Raw genomic sequence first — 17,192 nt, forward strand, 5'->3', positions numbered from 1 at the left:
AAGTGTGGAGGGGAATACGTGGGGCAGTCACACCCAGTCCTGCTCGTAAGGAGTTGCTTATTGTGACATTCCATACTGCAGTTATGCAGTACAGGAGCATAACTGGATTGTGTGTTTACATCGTGGCTGTTTTACCTTGTCCTTTTTTTTTTTTTTTTTGAGATGGAGTTTCTGTCGCCCAGGCTGGAGTGTAGGGGCACGACCTCGACTCACTGCAACTTCCGCCTCCCAGGTTCAAGTGATTCTCCTGCCTCAGCCTCCCGAGTAGCTGGGATTACAGGCATGCACCACCACGCCTGGCTAATTTTTTGTATTTTTAGTAGAGACTTGGTTTCACCATATTGGCCAAGCTGGTCTCAAACTACTGACCTCAGGTGACCCACCCACCTCGGCCTCCCAAAGTGCTGGGATTACAGGTGTGAGCCACTGCACCCGGCCACCTTGTCCTTTTGTTTCTGAATCATTTTCTTCAGCCTCTAAACCCACCCGCTCTACCCCACGACCCTCCCAGCCCTCTCCAGATGAAGATGTATGGGGCCTTGGCAGTTGGCGTGGAAGCTGCTGGCCACCCAGGTGGCGGTGCATTCCTCCATTCTTGTCCTCTTGCTGTCCTAGAACCCTGATTGGCGCTTGCTTGGATATTAACAGTTTGAGAGAGGCTTCACGTGGATTCCCACGTGTACCAACTTGAAGCAAATAACGATGAATATCTTGAAACTAGAAGCAGTGGCTCTACCATTTTAAAAAAATATATGGGGGTCTCACTATGTTGCCCAGGCTGGTCTTGAACTCCTGGGCTCAAGCCATCCTCCCACCTTGGCCTCCTGATAGCAGCTACAGGTGTGTACCACTGCACCAGTTTTTTTTTTTTTTTTTTTTTTTTTTTTTGAGACAGAGTCTTGCTCTGTCGCCCAGGCTGGAGTGTAGTGGCCTGATCTCGGCTCACTGCAAGCTCCGCTTCCCAGGTTCATGCCATTTTCCTGCCTCAGCCTCCCAAGTAGCTGGGACTACAGGCGCCCGCCACCACGCCCGGCTAATTTTTTGTATTTTTAGTAGAGACGGGGTTTCACCGTGTTAGCCAGGATGGTCTCGATCTCCTGACCTCGTGATCCGCCCGCCTCGGCCTCCCAAAGTGCTGGGATTACAGGCGTGAGCCACTGCGCCCGGCACCTGCACCAGTATGTTTTACCCATTACATTCCACCAATATTTCTTTTTCTTTTTTTTCTTTTTTTTTTTTTTTAGACAAAATCTCACTCTGTCACCCAGGCTGAAGGGCAGTGACACAATCTCGGCTCACTGCAACCTCTCCCTCCTGGGTTCAAGCGATTCTCCTGCCTCAGCCTCCCAAGTAGCTGGGACTACAGGCCACACGCCACCACGCCCGGCTAATTTTTGTATTTTCAGTAGAGACGGGGTTTCACCACGTTGGTCAGGCTGGTCTCGAACTCCTGACCTCAGGTAATCCACCCACCTTGGCCTGCCAAAATGCTGGGATTACAGACGTGAGCCACCGCGCCCGGCCGCAATATTTCTCTCTCTAAAAGGAACTGAATGAAGCACTTGGGTTATGATCTTGTTTACAATTTTGAAGGAAAAAAAGAGCTGCAGCTACACAACACTCATTTCTGTACTCAGCCCTCTCCAGTGTCTGTGGCCTGGGAGAAGGCTGAAGGGGATAATTAGGATGCCTGCCACACCCTCATGGCGGTGACAGGAATGCTGAGTGCTTACACTGAGTAAAGTGCCATTATAACTGAGTGCCTGTGGAATGTCTCTGCTTGGCTGTCCCCCCGGCACTGTATACTCATCTGTGACACCACCCAGTCACCCAAGCCAGGAACCTGGGCGTCCTCAACACGTCTTCCTTTCTGATCCTCCATGACTGGCACTAGGCCCGAGGGCCACTTTTCTGTGGGCCCTCCCTGCCATGCCCGGTAGTCTTGCCCACAGTCCCTCCCCTGCACCATTGCCAGCTGCCTTCCCACACATCCTCTGTCCCACTCTTGCCCCCTCTGGTCCGGTCCCCACCCTGCAGACACAATGGGTTTTCTTTTGTTGTTGTTTTTTTTTTGAGACGGAGTCTTGCTCTCTCGCCTAGGCTGGAGTGCAGTGGTGCAATCTCGGCTCTCTGCAACCTGTGCCTCCCGGGTTCAAGCGATCCTCCTGCCTCAGCCTCCTAAGTAGCTGGGATTACAGGCACACACCACCATGCCCAGCTAGTTTTTTTGTATTTTTAGTAGAAACAGAGTTTCACCATGTTGGCCAGGCTGGTTTTGAACTCCTGATTTCAAGTGATCCACCCACCTTGGCCTCCCAAAGTGTTAGGACTACAGGCGTGAACCACCGTGCCTGGCCAATGGGTTTTCTAAAATACAAATATGGTTCAACCTTGTTTAAAATCTTCTAGTGAAGACCTGAAAATTTGCCCTCAGACAAATTTGCCCTGAAAAGTTGCACGTCTTTAACAAGATATGCAAAGCCCTCTCATTCTAACCTCTTCTCCCTACTCTGTCTTGAAGGCCATGCTCTCCCCCTGTGGGTCTCCCAGCACCGCCCTCCCCGATGTATGTGCTTGATCACCTGCAGGTCCTGCAGGTGGCTGCCTAGATACCAGCTGCCCCTGGGCCGACGTGCCCATCCTTAGACCCCCCCAGCTCTTTGCACAGGTCTGCCTCAGGACTGGTTGAGTCTCTTTTGTGGAGAATCAAATTTGAGACTTAACCAAGGCTTCCAATGGGGCATGTGATACTTCCCTCCTCAGTGTTGGTACCAGCCCCAGAAGCGCCTGAAAAGATCTTCCTCCCACACCAGCACCTACCAGGAGTGTAGCCTGCTCCTCTGGGAGGTAGGAGAGCGGGGTGGCTGACAGCGTGGAGCTTGGGGATTGGCCAGAGCAGAACTCAAATCCAGGCGCAGCTACTCACTGTCATTTCAGGCAGGTTATTTAATCTCCCCGGGCCTCAGTTTCTGCATGTTTGAAGCAGGGCTAATAGTACCCTTCTCCTGGCTGTGGTCCAGCTGCCAGGTGCCACCGCAGACCGCAGGTGCTGGAGGGGAGAGGCACGTGGCCAGAGGCGCCTGGTCCTGACCAATCTTATAGGCTGATCTTTTAATAAGAACATCTGCCTGTTCTTTGGGACTTGTCCAGCAAATAACAGGAAACATTTTCTAAGAAATAAGTATAAACTCCGATGAGCCATGGCAAAAGCAGTTTTTTTAAGCTTAGTCAAGTTGAAGCAGCGGGAGTGGAGGAGGATCAGAGAAACCTCTGTAGTTGTGATTGGTTCCTTGTCGCCTCCACTGCGTACCCGCTGAGCTGGGCTTTGGGCAGGTGAGCAGCACAGAGGCTTCCCTCCTCGTCCCTCCCCACACCCCACCATCGCCACAGCTCCCTCCGCCGCCGGTGGGGCACCCAGATGGGGAGGAAGCTGAGGAGGCCACTGTTCACCCAAACTGGTTGGTCCTTCGGGCAATGCTGGGAATAGGGTGGGGGCTCTGGGCAAGCCCAGGAGGAGGAGGGCCTGGCTGAGTTCCAGGAACATCTCACACCACAAGGGAGGATCTAGCTGGTGCCCTCCCTGTACTGTCAGGAGGCCAGAGGGCCCTTCTCCAGCTCATCAGGGAGGGAACTGCTCTGGCAGGGAGTAGGGAAGGCTGTTTGTGGCATCCCTCAAGAAAGCTCCTGCCTCAGAAGAGGCCCAGGCAAAAAGAGCCCACAACAGTCTACCTGTGGAGCAGGGGGAGCCCACAGAGCCCAGGGGGAGCCCACAGAGCCCAGTGAGAGCTGGGGGTCCTTGCTGCCAACTCAGACCCTCAGATCCAAGCCAATGGCTTTGGGGCAGGGCAGCCAAAGCCATGGTAAGATAGCCTACACCACAGAGCCCCAGAGGCAGGGGCTGCCCCGGGCTGGCACATTTGGAAAGGATGCACTTGCACCCTGTCCACGGAAGAGCTGTCATCAGGCCTCAAGCATCTCAGAATCCTCCCCAGGCACTGCCTCCATGGAGGCAGCCGGAGGAACAGGACAGTTCTGGGGTCCGAACCCTCTGTTGGGGAATCGGCTGGGGTCCCACTCAGGCTGAATGAGATGTCAAATTGTAGGACCCTTTCTTCAGGGTCTCCAGGAAGAACTGTTCATTCTCCAAGAAGTCACGGTCCTGCAAGGCAGGTTTGGATGGGCGGTCACCTTCCCTGAGCTGAGAGGGAGGTGGAGCCCTGGATGCTAGCTGAGCCAGCCGTCACTGAGGCCCCTCCCCACATCGTCCCTGACTCTGCCTGGCTCTGGGAGTCAGCAGGGGCCATGAAAGAGCCCAGGTATGGAGTGAGACAGACCACAGTCTCAATCCTGGCAAGGTTACTTGTTTGCTGTGGAACTTACGAGCACATGACTTCATGTCTCTAAGCCTCAGTTTCCTTGTCTGTAAACATTCCTTGTAGCCCTTCCTTGCAGGGCTGTGTGAGGGTAAAAGCTTAAAAAATACACAAAGCAGGCCAGGCACAGTGGCTCATGCCTGTAATCCTAGCTAATCCGCAGGCCAAGGGGGTAGGATCACTTGAGCCCAGGACTTTGAGACCAGCCGAGGCAACATCGTGAGACCCCATTTCTAAATATAAATAAATAAGTAAAATATAAACAAAGCCTTCGGCATTGAGGTTGGCACACAGGAAATGCTCCATAATGACAACTGTTATCATTATAGTTTTGTTTTGTTTAGTTTGAGACAAGTGCCTTGCTCTGTCACCCAAGCTGAAGTGCAGTGGTGTGAACACACCTGTAGCCTCGACCAGCTGGGCTCAAGCAATCCTCCCACCTCAGCCTCCCAAGTAGCTGGGACTATAGATATGCCCCACCATGCCCAGCTAATTTTTAAATTTTTAATATTTATTTTTTTGAGACAGAGTCTCGCTCTGTTGCCTGGAGTGCAGTGGCACCGTTGTGGCTCACTGCAGCCTCGACCTCCCGGGCTTAAGTGATCCTCTTACCTCAGCCTCCGGAGTAGCTGGGAGTACAGGTGTATGCCACCACGCTCAGCTATTTTTTTGTGGAGACGAGGTCTCACTATGTTGCCCAAGCTGGCCACGAACTCCTGGGCTCAAGTAATCCTCCCACCATAGCCTCCCAAAGTGCTGGGATTACAGGTGTGAGCCACGCACCTGGTCCTCTTTTTTTAGTTTTTCATTTTGTAGAGACGGTGTCTCAACATATTGCCCAGGCTGGTCTCAAACTCCTGGGCTCAAGTGATCCTCCTGCTTCAACCTCCCAAAGTGTTGGGATTACAGGTGTGAGCCACTGTGCCCAGCCTGTTATCATTATTGCTATAGGTTATCATGAGGTTTAACTGAGATGACATATGCAAATTGCTTTGCACAGAACCTGGCCTAGTGTGGAAGTCTGAGCATTGGCTCACTAAGCAAACTGCAGTTTTACTCCCCAGGAGCTGGGGTCACCCCTCCCCAGGGCTACCATGTGCTCCTCCCTGCCTCTGCCCTGAGCTGGAAGGACTCGTGAACACAAGGATCCCCAAGGCCAGGAGAGACTCACCTGCTCTGCCATGTGCCTCAGCAGTGCCAGCCTGGCATGGAGGTGCAAGGGGCTGGGGTCCAGGCCAGTTGGCGGCTGGCTGCACCAACGGGTGGTGGGAGCAGGAGGCATGAGGGCTGAAAAGGCCAAGGAGGAAGTCAGGGACCAAAGTGTTGGTGGAAATACCGGGCGGTCACAGCTTGTTCCTGCAGAGCTGCTCCCCCCGCCAGTGGGTGGACCCTGGCCATATACTCAGGGTGCAATGGCACTAACTCTCAGAAGCCTCTGGCAAATGCATACCTGCTCCTACCTGGAAAGACCATTTATAGGAATTTATTCCAGTGAAATAATCAGGCAAAGGTACAAACACATATGTAGGAAGATGTCCACTGGGTAGTCTTTCTCTTTAAGACAACAAATCACTCAGCACAGAGCAGCCTCACAGTGGAAAACTGTGCTGATTGGGAATTGACTAAATGTTTAATGACTGATCTGAAAACCTGTTCCACGTGTACATTACTGAGTAAAAAAAGTAAAGTTATTGAAAAACACATACAATCCTAATTTTGTTTTTAAAAACATGTACCAGGCTGGGCGCGTTGGCTCATGCCTGTAATCCCAGCACTTTGGGAGGCCAAGGCGGGTGGATCACCTGAGGTCAGGAGTTCAAGACCAGCCCGGCCAACATGGCAAAACCCTATCTCTGCTAAAAATACAGAATTAGCCAGGCATGGTAGCACATGCCTGTAATCGCAGCTACTTGGGAGGCTGAGGTAAGAGAATCGCGTGAACTCAGGAGGTGGAGGTTGCACTAAGCCGAGATCATGCCACTGCACTCCAGCCTGGGTGACAAGAGTGAAACTCCATCTCAAAAAAGAAAAGAAAAAAAAAGTACCAGAGTGGAACATTATGCACCAAAATGTTAAAAGTGAAAAGTGGTTCTCTCAAGACTCAGGAGTGGCGTTGAGGGTGACTTTTTTTTTTTTTTTTTTTTTTTAAACGGAGTCTTGCTCTGTCCCCTAGGCTGGAGTGCAGTGGCACAATCTCGGCTTACTGCAACCTCCACTTCTCGGGTTCGAGTGACTCTCCTGCCTCAGCCTCCTGAGTAGCTGGGATTACGGGCACCTGCCACCACACCCGGCTAATTTTGTATTTTTAGCAGAGACGGGGTTTCATTATGTTGGCCAGGCTGGTCTTGAACTCCTGACCTCAGATGATCCGCCTGCCTCGGCTGCCGAAAGTGCTGAGATTATAGGCGTGAGCCACCACGCCCAGCCTGACAATGACTTTTTTTATTTCCTTTTTTTTTCCTGAGTCCAGAGTTACAAAAAGGTGACATTTTTCATAATAGTGTTCCTCTATTTCTGATTTATCTAAAATTAACACACATTATTTGTGTAAAAAAGAAATAAGGCGACTATAAAACCCAGCTGGCCGCCTTAACTGGAGCGGCTGGAGGAGGGCCTGCCCACTCCTAGCACTGCCCCTGCCCAGTCCTGAGCCGCCGGCCCTTCCTTCTGGAGCCACTCACCACTCTGGCTGGAGGCTGCAGGGCCCTGGGCCCTGGGGAACAGACCCACGAGGCTAGAGGGCAGGTCCTGTCGTGCGCGGTCCAGTTGCAGCCTCTGCTGGGCCAGACTCAGATGCTCCTGTCCCCGTTCCCCCAGAAAGAAGGACTCAGCTGTGAGGTGGGAGGCTGGGGGTGCCGGGGGCAGGGGCGCCATACACTCAGGGAGCCTTGCCTGGTGCATGTGCTGCTCCTGCTTCCGCAGCCGCTCCTGCTGTTGCTGCACCGCCTGCAACCGGGCCTGCTGCTCTGCCTGCACCTGCTGGGCCTCGCGCAATGCCCGCTCCCCCTCCTCGTACTTCTCGGAGGCCACCTGCAGGGAGGCCGCCTGGGTCAGGGCTGCCTGGGCTCAGATGCGCCCACGCCCATGTGCCCGAGCAGCACCTTGCTCATGCTCTCCACCTCCTCGGCGCGGAGCTTGACACGCAGGGCGGTGGCGTTGATCCTCTCCTTCTCCAGCCGCAGCTCCTGCCGCTCCTGCTCCAGGGCTGCTCTCTCCGCTGCCAGCTGCTTCTCCTCGGCCCGGAGCTCGCTGGCCCTGATCTTCAGCTCAGCCTGCTCCTGGAGACAGCGGAGGCCCTGCTGCATTCTCCTCCCAGGAATTGCGCTGCACTCTGTGCAGGACTCTAGGGTCCCCTCTGCCCACCCTGCCCCTGGGAGGAGGTGGTGGAGCCAGGGGCTTCCAGGGAGAGCCAGAGAAGCCTGGGGCCAAGCCGGAGTGCTGCCCTCACAAGCCACGTGACTGTGGCAGGCTCAACTCTGAAGTTCGGTTTCCTCATTTCTAAATGACCAAAGTCATGGGAACATGAGGATCAAATAAAATGTGTATAATGCACCTGGGACAATACGAGGAAGATGTTAGCATGATGATGCGATTACTGTTTTAATCCCTATGCTCTTGTGACATTAGTGCTACACTCTCCTTTCCTAAGACTGGAAGCGGATGTGTCCAGATGGAGGGGCGCAGGCAACCCTGGGCCCTCCACTGTCCGGAGGCTCTGGGCCCTACCTTGGCCAGGCTGATGAGGGTGCCCTCCCGCTGGGTGTCCACCTGCAATGCCCGCTCGGCCTCGCGCTCGGCCCGCTCCTTACTCAGCTTTTGCTGCGCGGAGAACTCCGCCCACTCGGCAGCCAGGCGCCGCCGCTCCTCCCCGCACTTGAGCATGACAGACTTCTGCTCCTCCAGCAAGGCGCTCTGGGATGTGGGGGTGAAGGCACGGGGTGAGTGTCCCTGGGCATAATGGCAGGGGCAGGGGCTGAGTGCGGTGGCTTGACTCACCTTGGCCCGTTCCAGCTCCGCCCTTTCCATGGCCATCTGCTGGGCCGTGACCTTCCTTTGCTCCTCTAGGGCGCGCTGCATGGACTCCGCCTTGGACTGCTCGGCAGTCACCCGCCAGCGTTCCTGTAGGGCCCAGGGCAGGACTGAGAGCGTGGTTCCCGCCCTGAGGATCACGCCTGGCCACTCCCTGAGAAGCTGCATGAACCCACCAGTGTCTCCCACACTATGCCACTGACACGTCCTTCCCAAAGAGGCACAAAATGAGGGGTGCCTGGGAGGCACTGCCAGGGCCCAGCCCGCACGATTCTGCCCAAGAGAAGGACCCAGCAGGTGCCCTCCCAACCCTCAGGTCTCCAACAGCACCAAGGCTAGCAGCTTGGGAGGGCCAAAGAGCAGCAACATCCCTGCCGCTGAATCGCCAGCTACGCACTCTGCCTGTCCTCACCCATCAGCCAAGCAGGCTAAGCACAGGGTGGCTTAATGCTGTGCTGTGGGCCCAGCCACACACAGCACAAGGCGAGAGCTTCACTGTGCCTGACCCCAGGCAGATGCTTAACACAGTTACCAAATGAAGAGGCGAATCAAAATGCTTCACAACATAAAAGCATCTCTATCTACGTTGACATGGCTACAGGATAGATATCAGGTCAGCAGTGGACATCTCTGACTAGTGGGATATTTTTATTTTCTTCTTTAAAAACATTTTTTTGGGCCGGGCACAGTGGCTCAGCCCTATAATCCCAGCACTTTGGGAGGCTGAGACGGGTGGATCACCTGAGGTCAGGAGTTCAAGACCAGCCTGGCCAACGTGGTGAAACCCATCTCTACTAAAAATACAAAAATTAGCTGGGCGTGGTGGCAGTTGCCTGTAATCCCAGTAGCTCAGGAGGCTGAGGCAGGAGAATCCCTTGAACCCAGGAGGCGAAGTTTGCAGTGAGCTGAGATTGCGCCACTACACTACAGCCTGGGTGACAGAGCGAGACTCTGACTCAAAAAAAAAAAAAAAAAAAAAAAAGTTTTTGGCTGGGCATGGTGGCTCACGCCTGTAATCCCTGCACTTTGGGAGGCCAAAGTGGGCAGCTTGTCTGAGCTCAGGAGTTTGAGATCAGCCTGGGCAACATGGCAAACCCCCGTTTCTACAAAAAATACAAAAAATTAGCTGGGTATAGTGGCATGCACCTGTGATCCCAGCTACTTGGCAGCTGAGGTGGGAAGATTGCTTGAGCCCAGGAGGTTCAAGCTGCAGTGGGCTGAGATCTTGCCACTGCACTCCAGCCTGAGTGACAGTGAGACCCCATCTCTAAAAAAAATTTTTTTTTTTGGCCAGGCATGGTGGCTCCCACCTGTACTCTCAAAATGTTGGGAGGCCTAAGTGGGCAGATTGCTTGAGCCCAGGAGTTCAAGACCAGCCTGGGCAACATGGCAAGACCCACATCTCAGTAAAAAATACACAATTAGCTGGGTGTGGTGGTTTGCGCCTGTAGTCCCAGCTACTCAGGAAGCTGAGGCAGGAGGATGGCTTAAGCCAAGGAGGTCAGGCTGCAGTGAGCTATGATCACACCACTGCACTCCAGCCTGGGCAACAGAGCAAGACCCTGTCTCTAAAAAATAACAGTGCTTTGTAAAACCTTAGAAGATGATAACTACTAGCTGAGGACAAAAAGATAGGTGGGAGGACAAGGAAGGCTTTGTGGAGGTGGTAGCATCGAAAGATTCATTACCATTGAATTCAGCCTAGAAAGATTTCCACAGGTAAGGAAAAGGATGTGAGCAAAGGCAGGGACTGCAGGTGTGCACCACCACACCCAGTTAATTAAAACAAAATTTAAATGTTTTTATTATTTATTTTTTTGAGACAGAGTCTCGCTCTGTTAACCAGACTGGTGTGCCATGTTATGATCTCCACTCACTGCAGCCTCTGTGTCCTAGATTCAAGCGATTCTCCCACCTCAGCCTCTCTAGTAGCTGGGATTACAGGCGTGCGCCACCACGCCTGGCTAGTTTCTTATTTCTTTATTTTTAGTTTCACCATGTTGGCCAGGCTGGTCTCGAACTCCTGACCTCAAGTGATCCTCCAGCCTTGGACTCCTGAAGTGCTGGAATTACAGGCATGAGCCAACTTGCCTGGCATAAAAAAATTTATTTATGGTCTCGCTAGGCTGGTCTCAAATTCTGGGCCTTAAGTGATCCTGCTGCCTCAGCCCCCCAAGTAGCTGGGATTATAGGCACAGGCCACTGTGCCTGGCTAAGGTCATCATTATTTAAATAAAGCATGTGCTTATATATGAAAGGTATCTAGGGAATTCAAATGTCTCTGTGAGAGCTGAAGAGGCTAGGATGACATTTAATGGGCAAGAGCATCTGTCCCAATGTCAGGCCTCAGCTAATGTGACAGATTCGAGTGTCAGGAAGTGGGAAGTGCAGCTGATGGTTGCGGGGGCTAGACTGCGGAGGGCAGCCAAGGTGGCCGAGGGGCTTGCGGTGCTGAGGAGCGGACAGGGCGTGGTGGGGGGCCTGGCCAGGCGGCCCCTGCATGCTCAGGTGGGCAGTGCTGAGAGCCTGGCCAGGGCAGGGAGATGTAGAGGCAGGAAGCGGCAGGTGGGGCCTTGACCTCCTGAGGAAGTGAGGTCACGGGAGTGCCGCTACACTTGCGGGTGCCCTGGAGAAGAGGCCCCGTGGCAGGAGGGGCAGGAGGGCCAGGAGGACGGGCCTCACCTGCTCCAGCAGCCGGCTCTGCTCATTCAGCCGTGCCTCCATCTTCCCGATGACCTCCTGTTGCCGGCTCCGCTCCTCCTCCATGTCCCGCTGCTGCTGGCCCAGCCGCTCCTGCAGTGCTGGGGGCAACCCACAGGGTGCTCAGCAGCTGCTCCCCCTTCCCACCAGGAGCCGGGGTGGCTGAGAGGGGAGGGCGTACCCCGCAGCTGCTCGTCACGCTGCCGGATCCCCAGCTCCCGCTCCTGGGAGGTGGTGAGGTGCGAGGCCTCCACGCGGGAGGACAACTCGTGCAGGCTGCTGGAGAACTTCTCCATCTGGTGGATGATGCTATTCAGGGACCTGGAAGAAGACTGGGTCACCCCCTCCTGACGGTCTCGGGGACCTTCCGGCCCCCAACGTCAGGCGGGCATGGTTGGGGCAGCGCACATACCGCGTGTGGGAGGTGGCACTGGTGGCCGCATCGACCTCTCGGTCCTTCAGCAGCTTTAGCCGCTGCAGCTGCTCCTCGTGGTCTCTGCGCATGTCTAGGATGGACGCCCTGAGGGGAGGCGGGAGGGGAAGGCGGTCACTCTGAGCTGGATCACCCTGATGCGGTAACTCCTTGTGGAAGGGTGTGTTTCCGTGCAGCCCTTGCTCCCAGGCCTCTCCTCCGCCGGGCACTGCCTCAGTTTCCCCAGCTCCTCTGTCTTATCTGTCATGGTGCCTCAATGCTACACGCACTAAGATGGGCATTCCTCCCATTATTCAGCTTTTCTTTTTTTGGAGATGGAGTTTTGCTCTGTCACCCAGAGTCTCTCACTCTGTCGCCCAGGCTGGAGTTCAGTGGCATGATCTCGGCTCACTGCAACCTCTGCCTCCTGGGTTCAAGCAATTCTCCTGCCTCAGCCTCCCGAGTGGCTGGGACTATAGGCGCTCACCACGCCTAATTTTTTATATTTTAGTAGAGATGGGGTTTCCACCGTGTTGCCCAGGCTGGTCTCGAACTTCTGAGCTCAGGCAATCTACCCACCTTGGCCTCCCAAAGCACTGGGATTACAGGTGTGAGCCACCACGCCCGGCCCCAAGCAGTCTTTCTTTTTTTTTTTTTTTTTCCTAGAGATGAGGTCTCACTATGTTGCCCAGGCTGGTCTTGAACTCCTAGCCTCAAGCAATCCTCCTGCCTTGGCCTCCCAAGTGTTTTGTTTTTTAAATGTTTTTAGAGACAGGGTTTTGTTCTGTGGTCCAGGCTGGAGTGCAGTGGCATCATAGCTCATTGCAGCCCTGATCTCTTGGGCTGAAGGTATCCTCCTGCCTCAGTTTCCCAAGTAGCTGGAACTACAGGAGTAGCTGTCATGCCAGCTTATTTAAAAATTGTTTTTAGAGATGAGGTCTCACTGTGTTGCCCAGACTGGTCTCAAACTCCTGGCCTCAAGTGATCCTCCCACCTCGGCCTCCCAAAGTGCTGGGATTACAGGTGTGAGCCACTGCACCCGGCCCTGAGCAGTCTTAAAAGGCTGCCTCTGCCTTCATCGACCTCTGACTCCCTTAGGTAACTTTTCTTAGTTTCCTTCTCTTCTAGAAAGGCAACCCTATAAACATGGCAGGCACAACAGCGCAAGCCTTTCCCAGGTGGATCTTGTTTCTAGCCTCTACTGCATGAGCAGGCGAGTGGATGACCCTGTGCTTAGTTAGACCCTAGGCGGCTTGCTGCTGCCATGCCATGCCTGAACAGCCTGTGGGTACCCCCTCCTGCCTCTGTAAGAGCAGGTGGCACCCCCACCCATGGGTGTGATGGGTCAGTGTGCTCAGCCCTCAGTCCTCACTCACTGGACTGGGAGGGAAGGACCCAACCCCTGTCCAAAGGCTGCTGAGCCACAGCGAAGGGTCTCGTGGGGATGGCTCTCTTCCGGCTACTCCTTGCAAGCCTGCTCCCCAGCTGCCTGTCCCTGGGCCTCACCGCTGCAGCTCCCGGAGCCGCTCCATTTCCTGGTCCTTCTCCTGCGCTATGGCCGCCAAGCGCCGCTGGTGCTGGGCCGTAAGCTCAGCACGGGCCTGTTCGGCCTCCTGGCACTGCGACAGATACCGAGCTGACAGCTCTTCGTTCTCTCTCCGGAGCCGCTCCTCCCGTTGCTGGTACGATGTTTCTAGCACCTTGATGCGGCTTCTGCCAACAGAACACCCAGCCATGGCGCAAGGAAGGCAGAGGGCTGCCGCCTAAAGGCCTCTCCAGGCACACTGGGTGGCCTTTGGGGTCAGTGTGAGATCCAAGGCAGAGCTGGGGCCAGCGCCAGGGTACCTGTGTGCACTCTCGATGAGCTCCAGGTCTGCCTGGTGCTGCTGCTGCAGACTCCCCAGCAGCAGCTCATGCTGGGCCCGTTCTAGCTCCAGCTTCCGCACCTGGGAGACAGCAGGAGGGCCAGCAACCAGGGAGGGGAGGTGGCTGTACTCCACGCTGCCCTGTGCCAACAGCCCTTCCTCCCTCCTGGGGAAGCTTCCAGCCACTCTCAGTGTCCCCTCCTGTCGCAACCCTGCCACCAGCACCAACGGCCCCGCTGCCCCTCACCTGGGCCTCCAGCTCTGCCAGCCGGGCCTGGCTATGCAGCAGCTCGGCCTGGAGCTCAGCGGGGCTGCACTGAAGTTGCACCTGTGCTGCCAGGAGCTGCTTCTGGTATTCTGTGCTCGGCAGCAGGCTCCGGGCCAGGGACTCTGGGAGCAGGGGCTGGAGGAGAGGAAGAGAGGTGTTTCTAGTTAGGGAGGGGACAGGGGCCCAGCTGAGATCAGCTACCTCCTGGCCCACTGCTCACTGGACCTCCCTGCATCTGATCTGTGGCTGCAGATGGGGCCAAGGCCTTGGAAAGTAACAGTCACTGCGGCTAAGCAGTCCCCAGTGTACCTCCCCTTGCAGATCTGGTCAGGAGCATGTCTCCCTCCACCCTCCGGAACAGCTTCCTCCCCAGCATGGTCTCCGGCTTCCCAGACAAATGGCTGAACCCCAGCAGAGTCTTCGCTATGACAAAAGCTGATGCTGGCTTTTCCTGTCAGGCCTGAAGCCCACATGTTGACACTAATCTGGTTCCCACGAGCTGTCCCCTACCCACCATCTCCCAGGGACACACTCCTGGGGGGGGGGGGGGCACACCTCCCAGGCCCAGGTGTCACAGGTGACTGCCACACATGGGAAACAGAGGCAGAGGTGTGGTGGGAGGATGGCAAGGGTGGAGGAGGCTTTCTTGACAGAACAGGACCCTGCGGCCCTGCTTTCTGACTGCAGCATCCCAGCTCCCCGGCCTGGCTGCCTCCTTAAACTCCCCACTGATGTAGGCAAATTAACACCCAGCTCTGCCCAGGAGCAGCGAGGCTAGAAATTCAGGCAAGTTCTAGTGGGGGGTGCCCGGGGAGCTGGCTGACGTCACATTTGGTATGTTTGACACATTTTTCCTGGCAGGTCGTCAGGTCAAACTGTGGGTATTGCCCCTGGGCATGGAGAATTGCTCCCTAGGCCCTGAGCTAGACCTGTCTGCCCACACCCCTACCTGGACGGGCACGGAAGGCTCTGTGGGTTTCTGGGTGCTCGGGAAACACGTGGCAGGCTCTGAAACATCAACAACAGAGAAATGAACAGGAGGCCCAGGGCACTGGGCCTGCGAGTGTCCAGGAGGGGCTGGTGTAACTCATGTCCCAGGGACCCCAAAGGAAGCTCAAAGCACCTCTTCCTCACCCAGGGTTAAACTCCCAAATGAAGCAGCAAACAAAAAACAAACCAGTGGCTGAGAGGTCTCCAGGGGCTGTTCCCCTCTTTGGGGAACCTGTAGGGAGTGCTGAGGCGGCATGGTTCTGAGTCACAGGGGACCTGAGGACACAGGGATGGGGCATGGTGAGCAGCCTCTGTGTGGGACACGGGGACGGGGCAGGGTGGGCAGCCTCTAGGTGGGACATGGGGACGGGGCAGGGTGGGCAGCCTCTACGTGGGACACGGGGATGGGGCAGGGTGGGCAGCCTCTGCTGGGACACGGGGACGGGGCAGGGTGGGCAGCCTCTAGGTGGGACACGGGGATGGGGCAGGGTGGGCAGCCTCTGTGTAGGGCACAGGGACGGAGCAGGGTGGGCAGCCTCTGTGTGGGACACGGGGACGGGGCAGGGGCAGGGTGAACAGCCTCTGTGTCCCTCTCTCAGGACAGAGGCCTGTGCTGCCCACCATGCTCTCATTCCCACTCAGCCCGCAGCCCAGGCCTACCCCGAGACACCAGGCCTGACACACGGTCTTTCTCGTGCAGTTGTTCCAGAACTCCCTCCAGCAGCTGCGTGCTCAAGCCCTTGTGTGCTGGTGAGAGGTTGGCTGAGGAAAGGCAGCGTTCAAGGTGAAGGTGACAGAAGGCCCAGGTCAGGCTGGATGAAGACAGGGCCCAGGACGGGCTTCACACGTGAAGCTCGTGGCCCCCCTTCCTCCTGCTTCCACCATCCCGTCTTGGGGCATTCTCCTCCCACGTCTGAGCTCCTGGGATTTCTGGGCATCTCTTCCCTTCCAGTACCCCCTTCCTGCCTCAATGTCCACAGTGGTGCAGTGAATGGACACTGTCCAAGCAGTGACAACGGAAATGTTATAGACACTGGAGTCAAGTTCAAGTTCAGAGCCCTGTTCCAGTCCACTTAACTTGGCTCAGCTCTAGATTAGGATTCTGCTCAGTCTACCAAATCTGGCTGGCTCCCTTTCCCATTATTTCCACCTCTTTCTCGGCTCACGGGTCAGTGAAGAGACAGGCTCTTTTCTGTTTTGGCCTGAGCTTTCCCCTCGGCCTCAGGTCAAAGTCAAAACTGCCCTCCTGTCATCAACCCCAGGACAGGGTGATGTCCCTGGGCTGTCACAAATTGCCCAGTTCACTCCCCTGGGCTCTGGCCACAGCACATCTCACCACTTCCTCTGGACTCCCCCAGCCTGCTGGCCCCTTGTGCCTTCCTGCCTTCAGAGGTCACTCGCTATCCTGCCCCACGGATAAGGGCTTCTCCAAGAGGCGCCTCTCGGCCACTATGTCTCCTCTAACACTCTCAAAGAGCACAGGGACATCTCAGCTCACACACGCCATACTCGCTTCAGTGGAGTCGGCAGAAGCACCGGCTGTTTGGATGCCGGGGCTTCCAGCCTGAGGGCGCTGTGACAGGGCAGCGGTGTGTCTGCCACCTCAGGGACCCTCTGTCTTCTCCTCGATCAAGTTAGCACCTGTCCCCATGGCGGTCAGGGCATGAATGTCAACAGCCCTCCTTCTTGGGTATGTCCCTGGGGCAAGCCTGGGAGCCAGAGGCTCTCTCTGCAGTGCCTAAAAGGCAGAGTAGCAAAGCCAAGAAGCGGCCTCTGTGGCCACGGCGCCCTGCCTTGTTCCCCAACTGCTGACTGAGGCTGCAACAGGTGAAGGGGCAAAGGGGCTCCTCAAGTCCCCAGCCAGTCCTCCCCCTACTAGCCACAGCAGCCTAAGTCAGTACCTGCCAGAAGGGGGATGGCCCGCTGTCCCCGCCAAATGCAGGCCCTCAGAGGTCCCAGCATGCTGCTCTCTGGCCAGGCCTTGGGACTTCTTCCGAGACAGGGCATGGCTCAGCCAGTCCTCTTTCTCCTCCTTGGAGGCTCGCAGCTTGGAAGCCTGGCTGGCTTTGGCAGGGGACCCTGCACCTTCAGTTGGTGGCTTTGCCCTGGAGGGGGGCAGCCCAGCTGGCGTGGAGTGCTGGCTCGCAGGAGGAGGCACTGAGGGCGTGACAGGCACTGAACTTTCCCGATGGGCCTCTCTGGTGGGTGAGGCAGGGAACAGGTCCAAGTCCTCGTCCTTGAGGCCCAACCAGTCAGCTCCTCCCTTCCTGGGCTGGATGGGGCTGGAAGCCATTGGAGGGCTCTGTTTGGAGCCTGGTTCTCCCTTGGGGTCTGCGCCACTGTCTGCGAAGAACCTACTTCAAGACAGAAAGGAGGGTGTCAGGCAGGGGAAACAGCCAGTCCCAGTGGCCCCCTAGCAGCCTGCAGCTGGGCGTCACGATGCCCAGGGACCCTGCACAGTCAGCTGAGGCCCAGTGAGCAGTGGCTCCTGGACCGGCTCAGGTGGCAGGCCACGTGCTGTCTGTAGAACACCACGAAGTACAGAGACCTTGACT

The 17,192-nt window shown here is 56.0% G+C and overlaps 1 protein-coding gene across 1 annotated transcript in view, besides 3 other annotated features; it reads right to left on the minus strand.

The window, feature by feature from the left end:
- Positions 1-2,926: 2,926 nt before the first annotated feature.
- FBF1 (Fas binding factor 1) overlaps positions 2,927-17,192 on the minus strand; it is a 31,469-nt gene continuing 17,203 nt past the window's right edge. The window contains exons 14-30 of the mRNA NM_001319193.2: positions 16,539-16,994; positions 15,298-15,399; positions 14,825-14,913; positions 14,597-14,655; positions 13,627-13,782; positions 13,360-13,460; positions 13,021-13,227; positions 11,515-11,622; positions 11,284-11,423; positions 11,085-11,203; positions 8,370-8,492; positions 8,100-8,285; positions 7,475-7,651; positions 7,266-7,403; positions 7,055-7,172; positions 5,545-5,660; positions 2,927-4,159 (exon numbers count right to left, since the gene is read on the minus strand). Coding sequence (NP_001306122.1) covers positions 4,076-4,159; positions 5,545-5,660; positions 7,055-7,172; positions 7,266-7,403; positions 7,475-7,651; positions 8,100-8,285; positions 8,370-8,492; positions 11,085-11,203; positions 11,284-11,423; positions 11,515-11,622; positions 13,021-13,227; positions 13,360-13,460; positions 13,627-13,782; positions 14,597-14,655; positions 14,825-14,913; positions 15,298-15,399; positions 16,539-16,994 — 2,479 coding nt within the window. The 3' untranslated portion in view covers positions 2,927-4,075. The remainder of the gene's footprint in view (positions 4,160-5,544; positions 5,661-7,054; positions 7,173-7,265; positions 7,404-7,474; positions 7,652-8,099; positions 8,286-8,369; positions 8,493-11,084; positions 11,204-11,283; positions 11,424-11,514; positions 11,623-13,020; positions 13,228-13,359; positions 13,461-13,626; positions 13,783-14,596; positions 14,656-14,824; positions 14,914-15,297; positions 15,400-16,538; positions 16,995-17,192) is intronic.
- Positions 4,216-4,376: a silencer, noted in NCBI's record as "fragment chr17:73906944-73907104 (GRCh37/hg19 assembly coordinates)". NCBI's record gives its function as "represses an EF-1alpha promoter that drives an FKBP-Casp9 reporter gene in an ReSE screen in phorbol 12-myristate 13-acetate-treated (for megakaryocytic differentiation) K562 erythroleukemia cells {active_cell/tissue: K562(+PMA)}" and the evidence as "EXISTENCE:reporter gene assay evidence [ECO:0000049][PMID:32094911]".
- Positions 8,281-8,575: an enhancer, noted in NCBI's record as "tiled region #10813; K562 Activating non-DNase unmatched - State 7:EnhWF". NCBI's record gives its function as "activates a minimal TATA promoter and a strong SV40 promoter by Sharpr-MPRA in K562 cells {active_cell/tissue: K562}" and the evidence as "EXISTENCE:reporter gene assay evidence [ECO:0000049][PMID:27701403]".
- Positions 14,460-15,659: an enhancer, noted in NCBI's record as "CDK7 strongly-dependent group 2 enhancer chr17:73917188-73918387 (GRCh37/hg19 assembly coordinates)". NCBI's record gives its function as "activates an origin of replication core promoter dependent on BRD2, BRD4, P300/CBP, MED14 and CDK7 cofactors, with strong dependence on CDK7, by STARR-seq in HCT116 cells {active_cell/tissue: HCT116}" and the evidence as "EXISTENCE:reporter gene assay evidence [ECO:0000049][PMID:35650434]".

This window comes from Homo sapiens, chromosome 17, assembly GCF_000001405.40.
Source record: "Homo sapiens chromosome 17, GRCh38.p14 Primary Assembly".
NCBI lineage: Eukaryota > Metazoa > Chordata > Mammalia > Primates > Hominidae > Homo > Homo sapiens.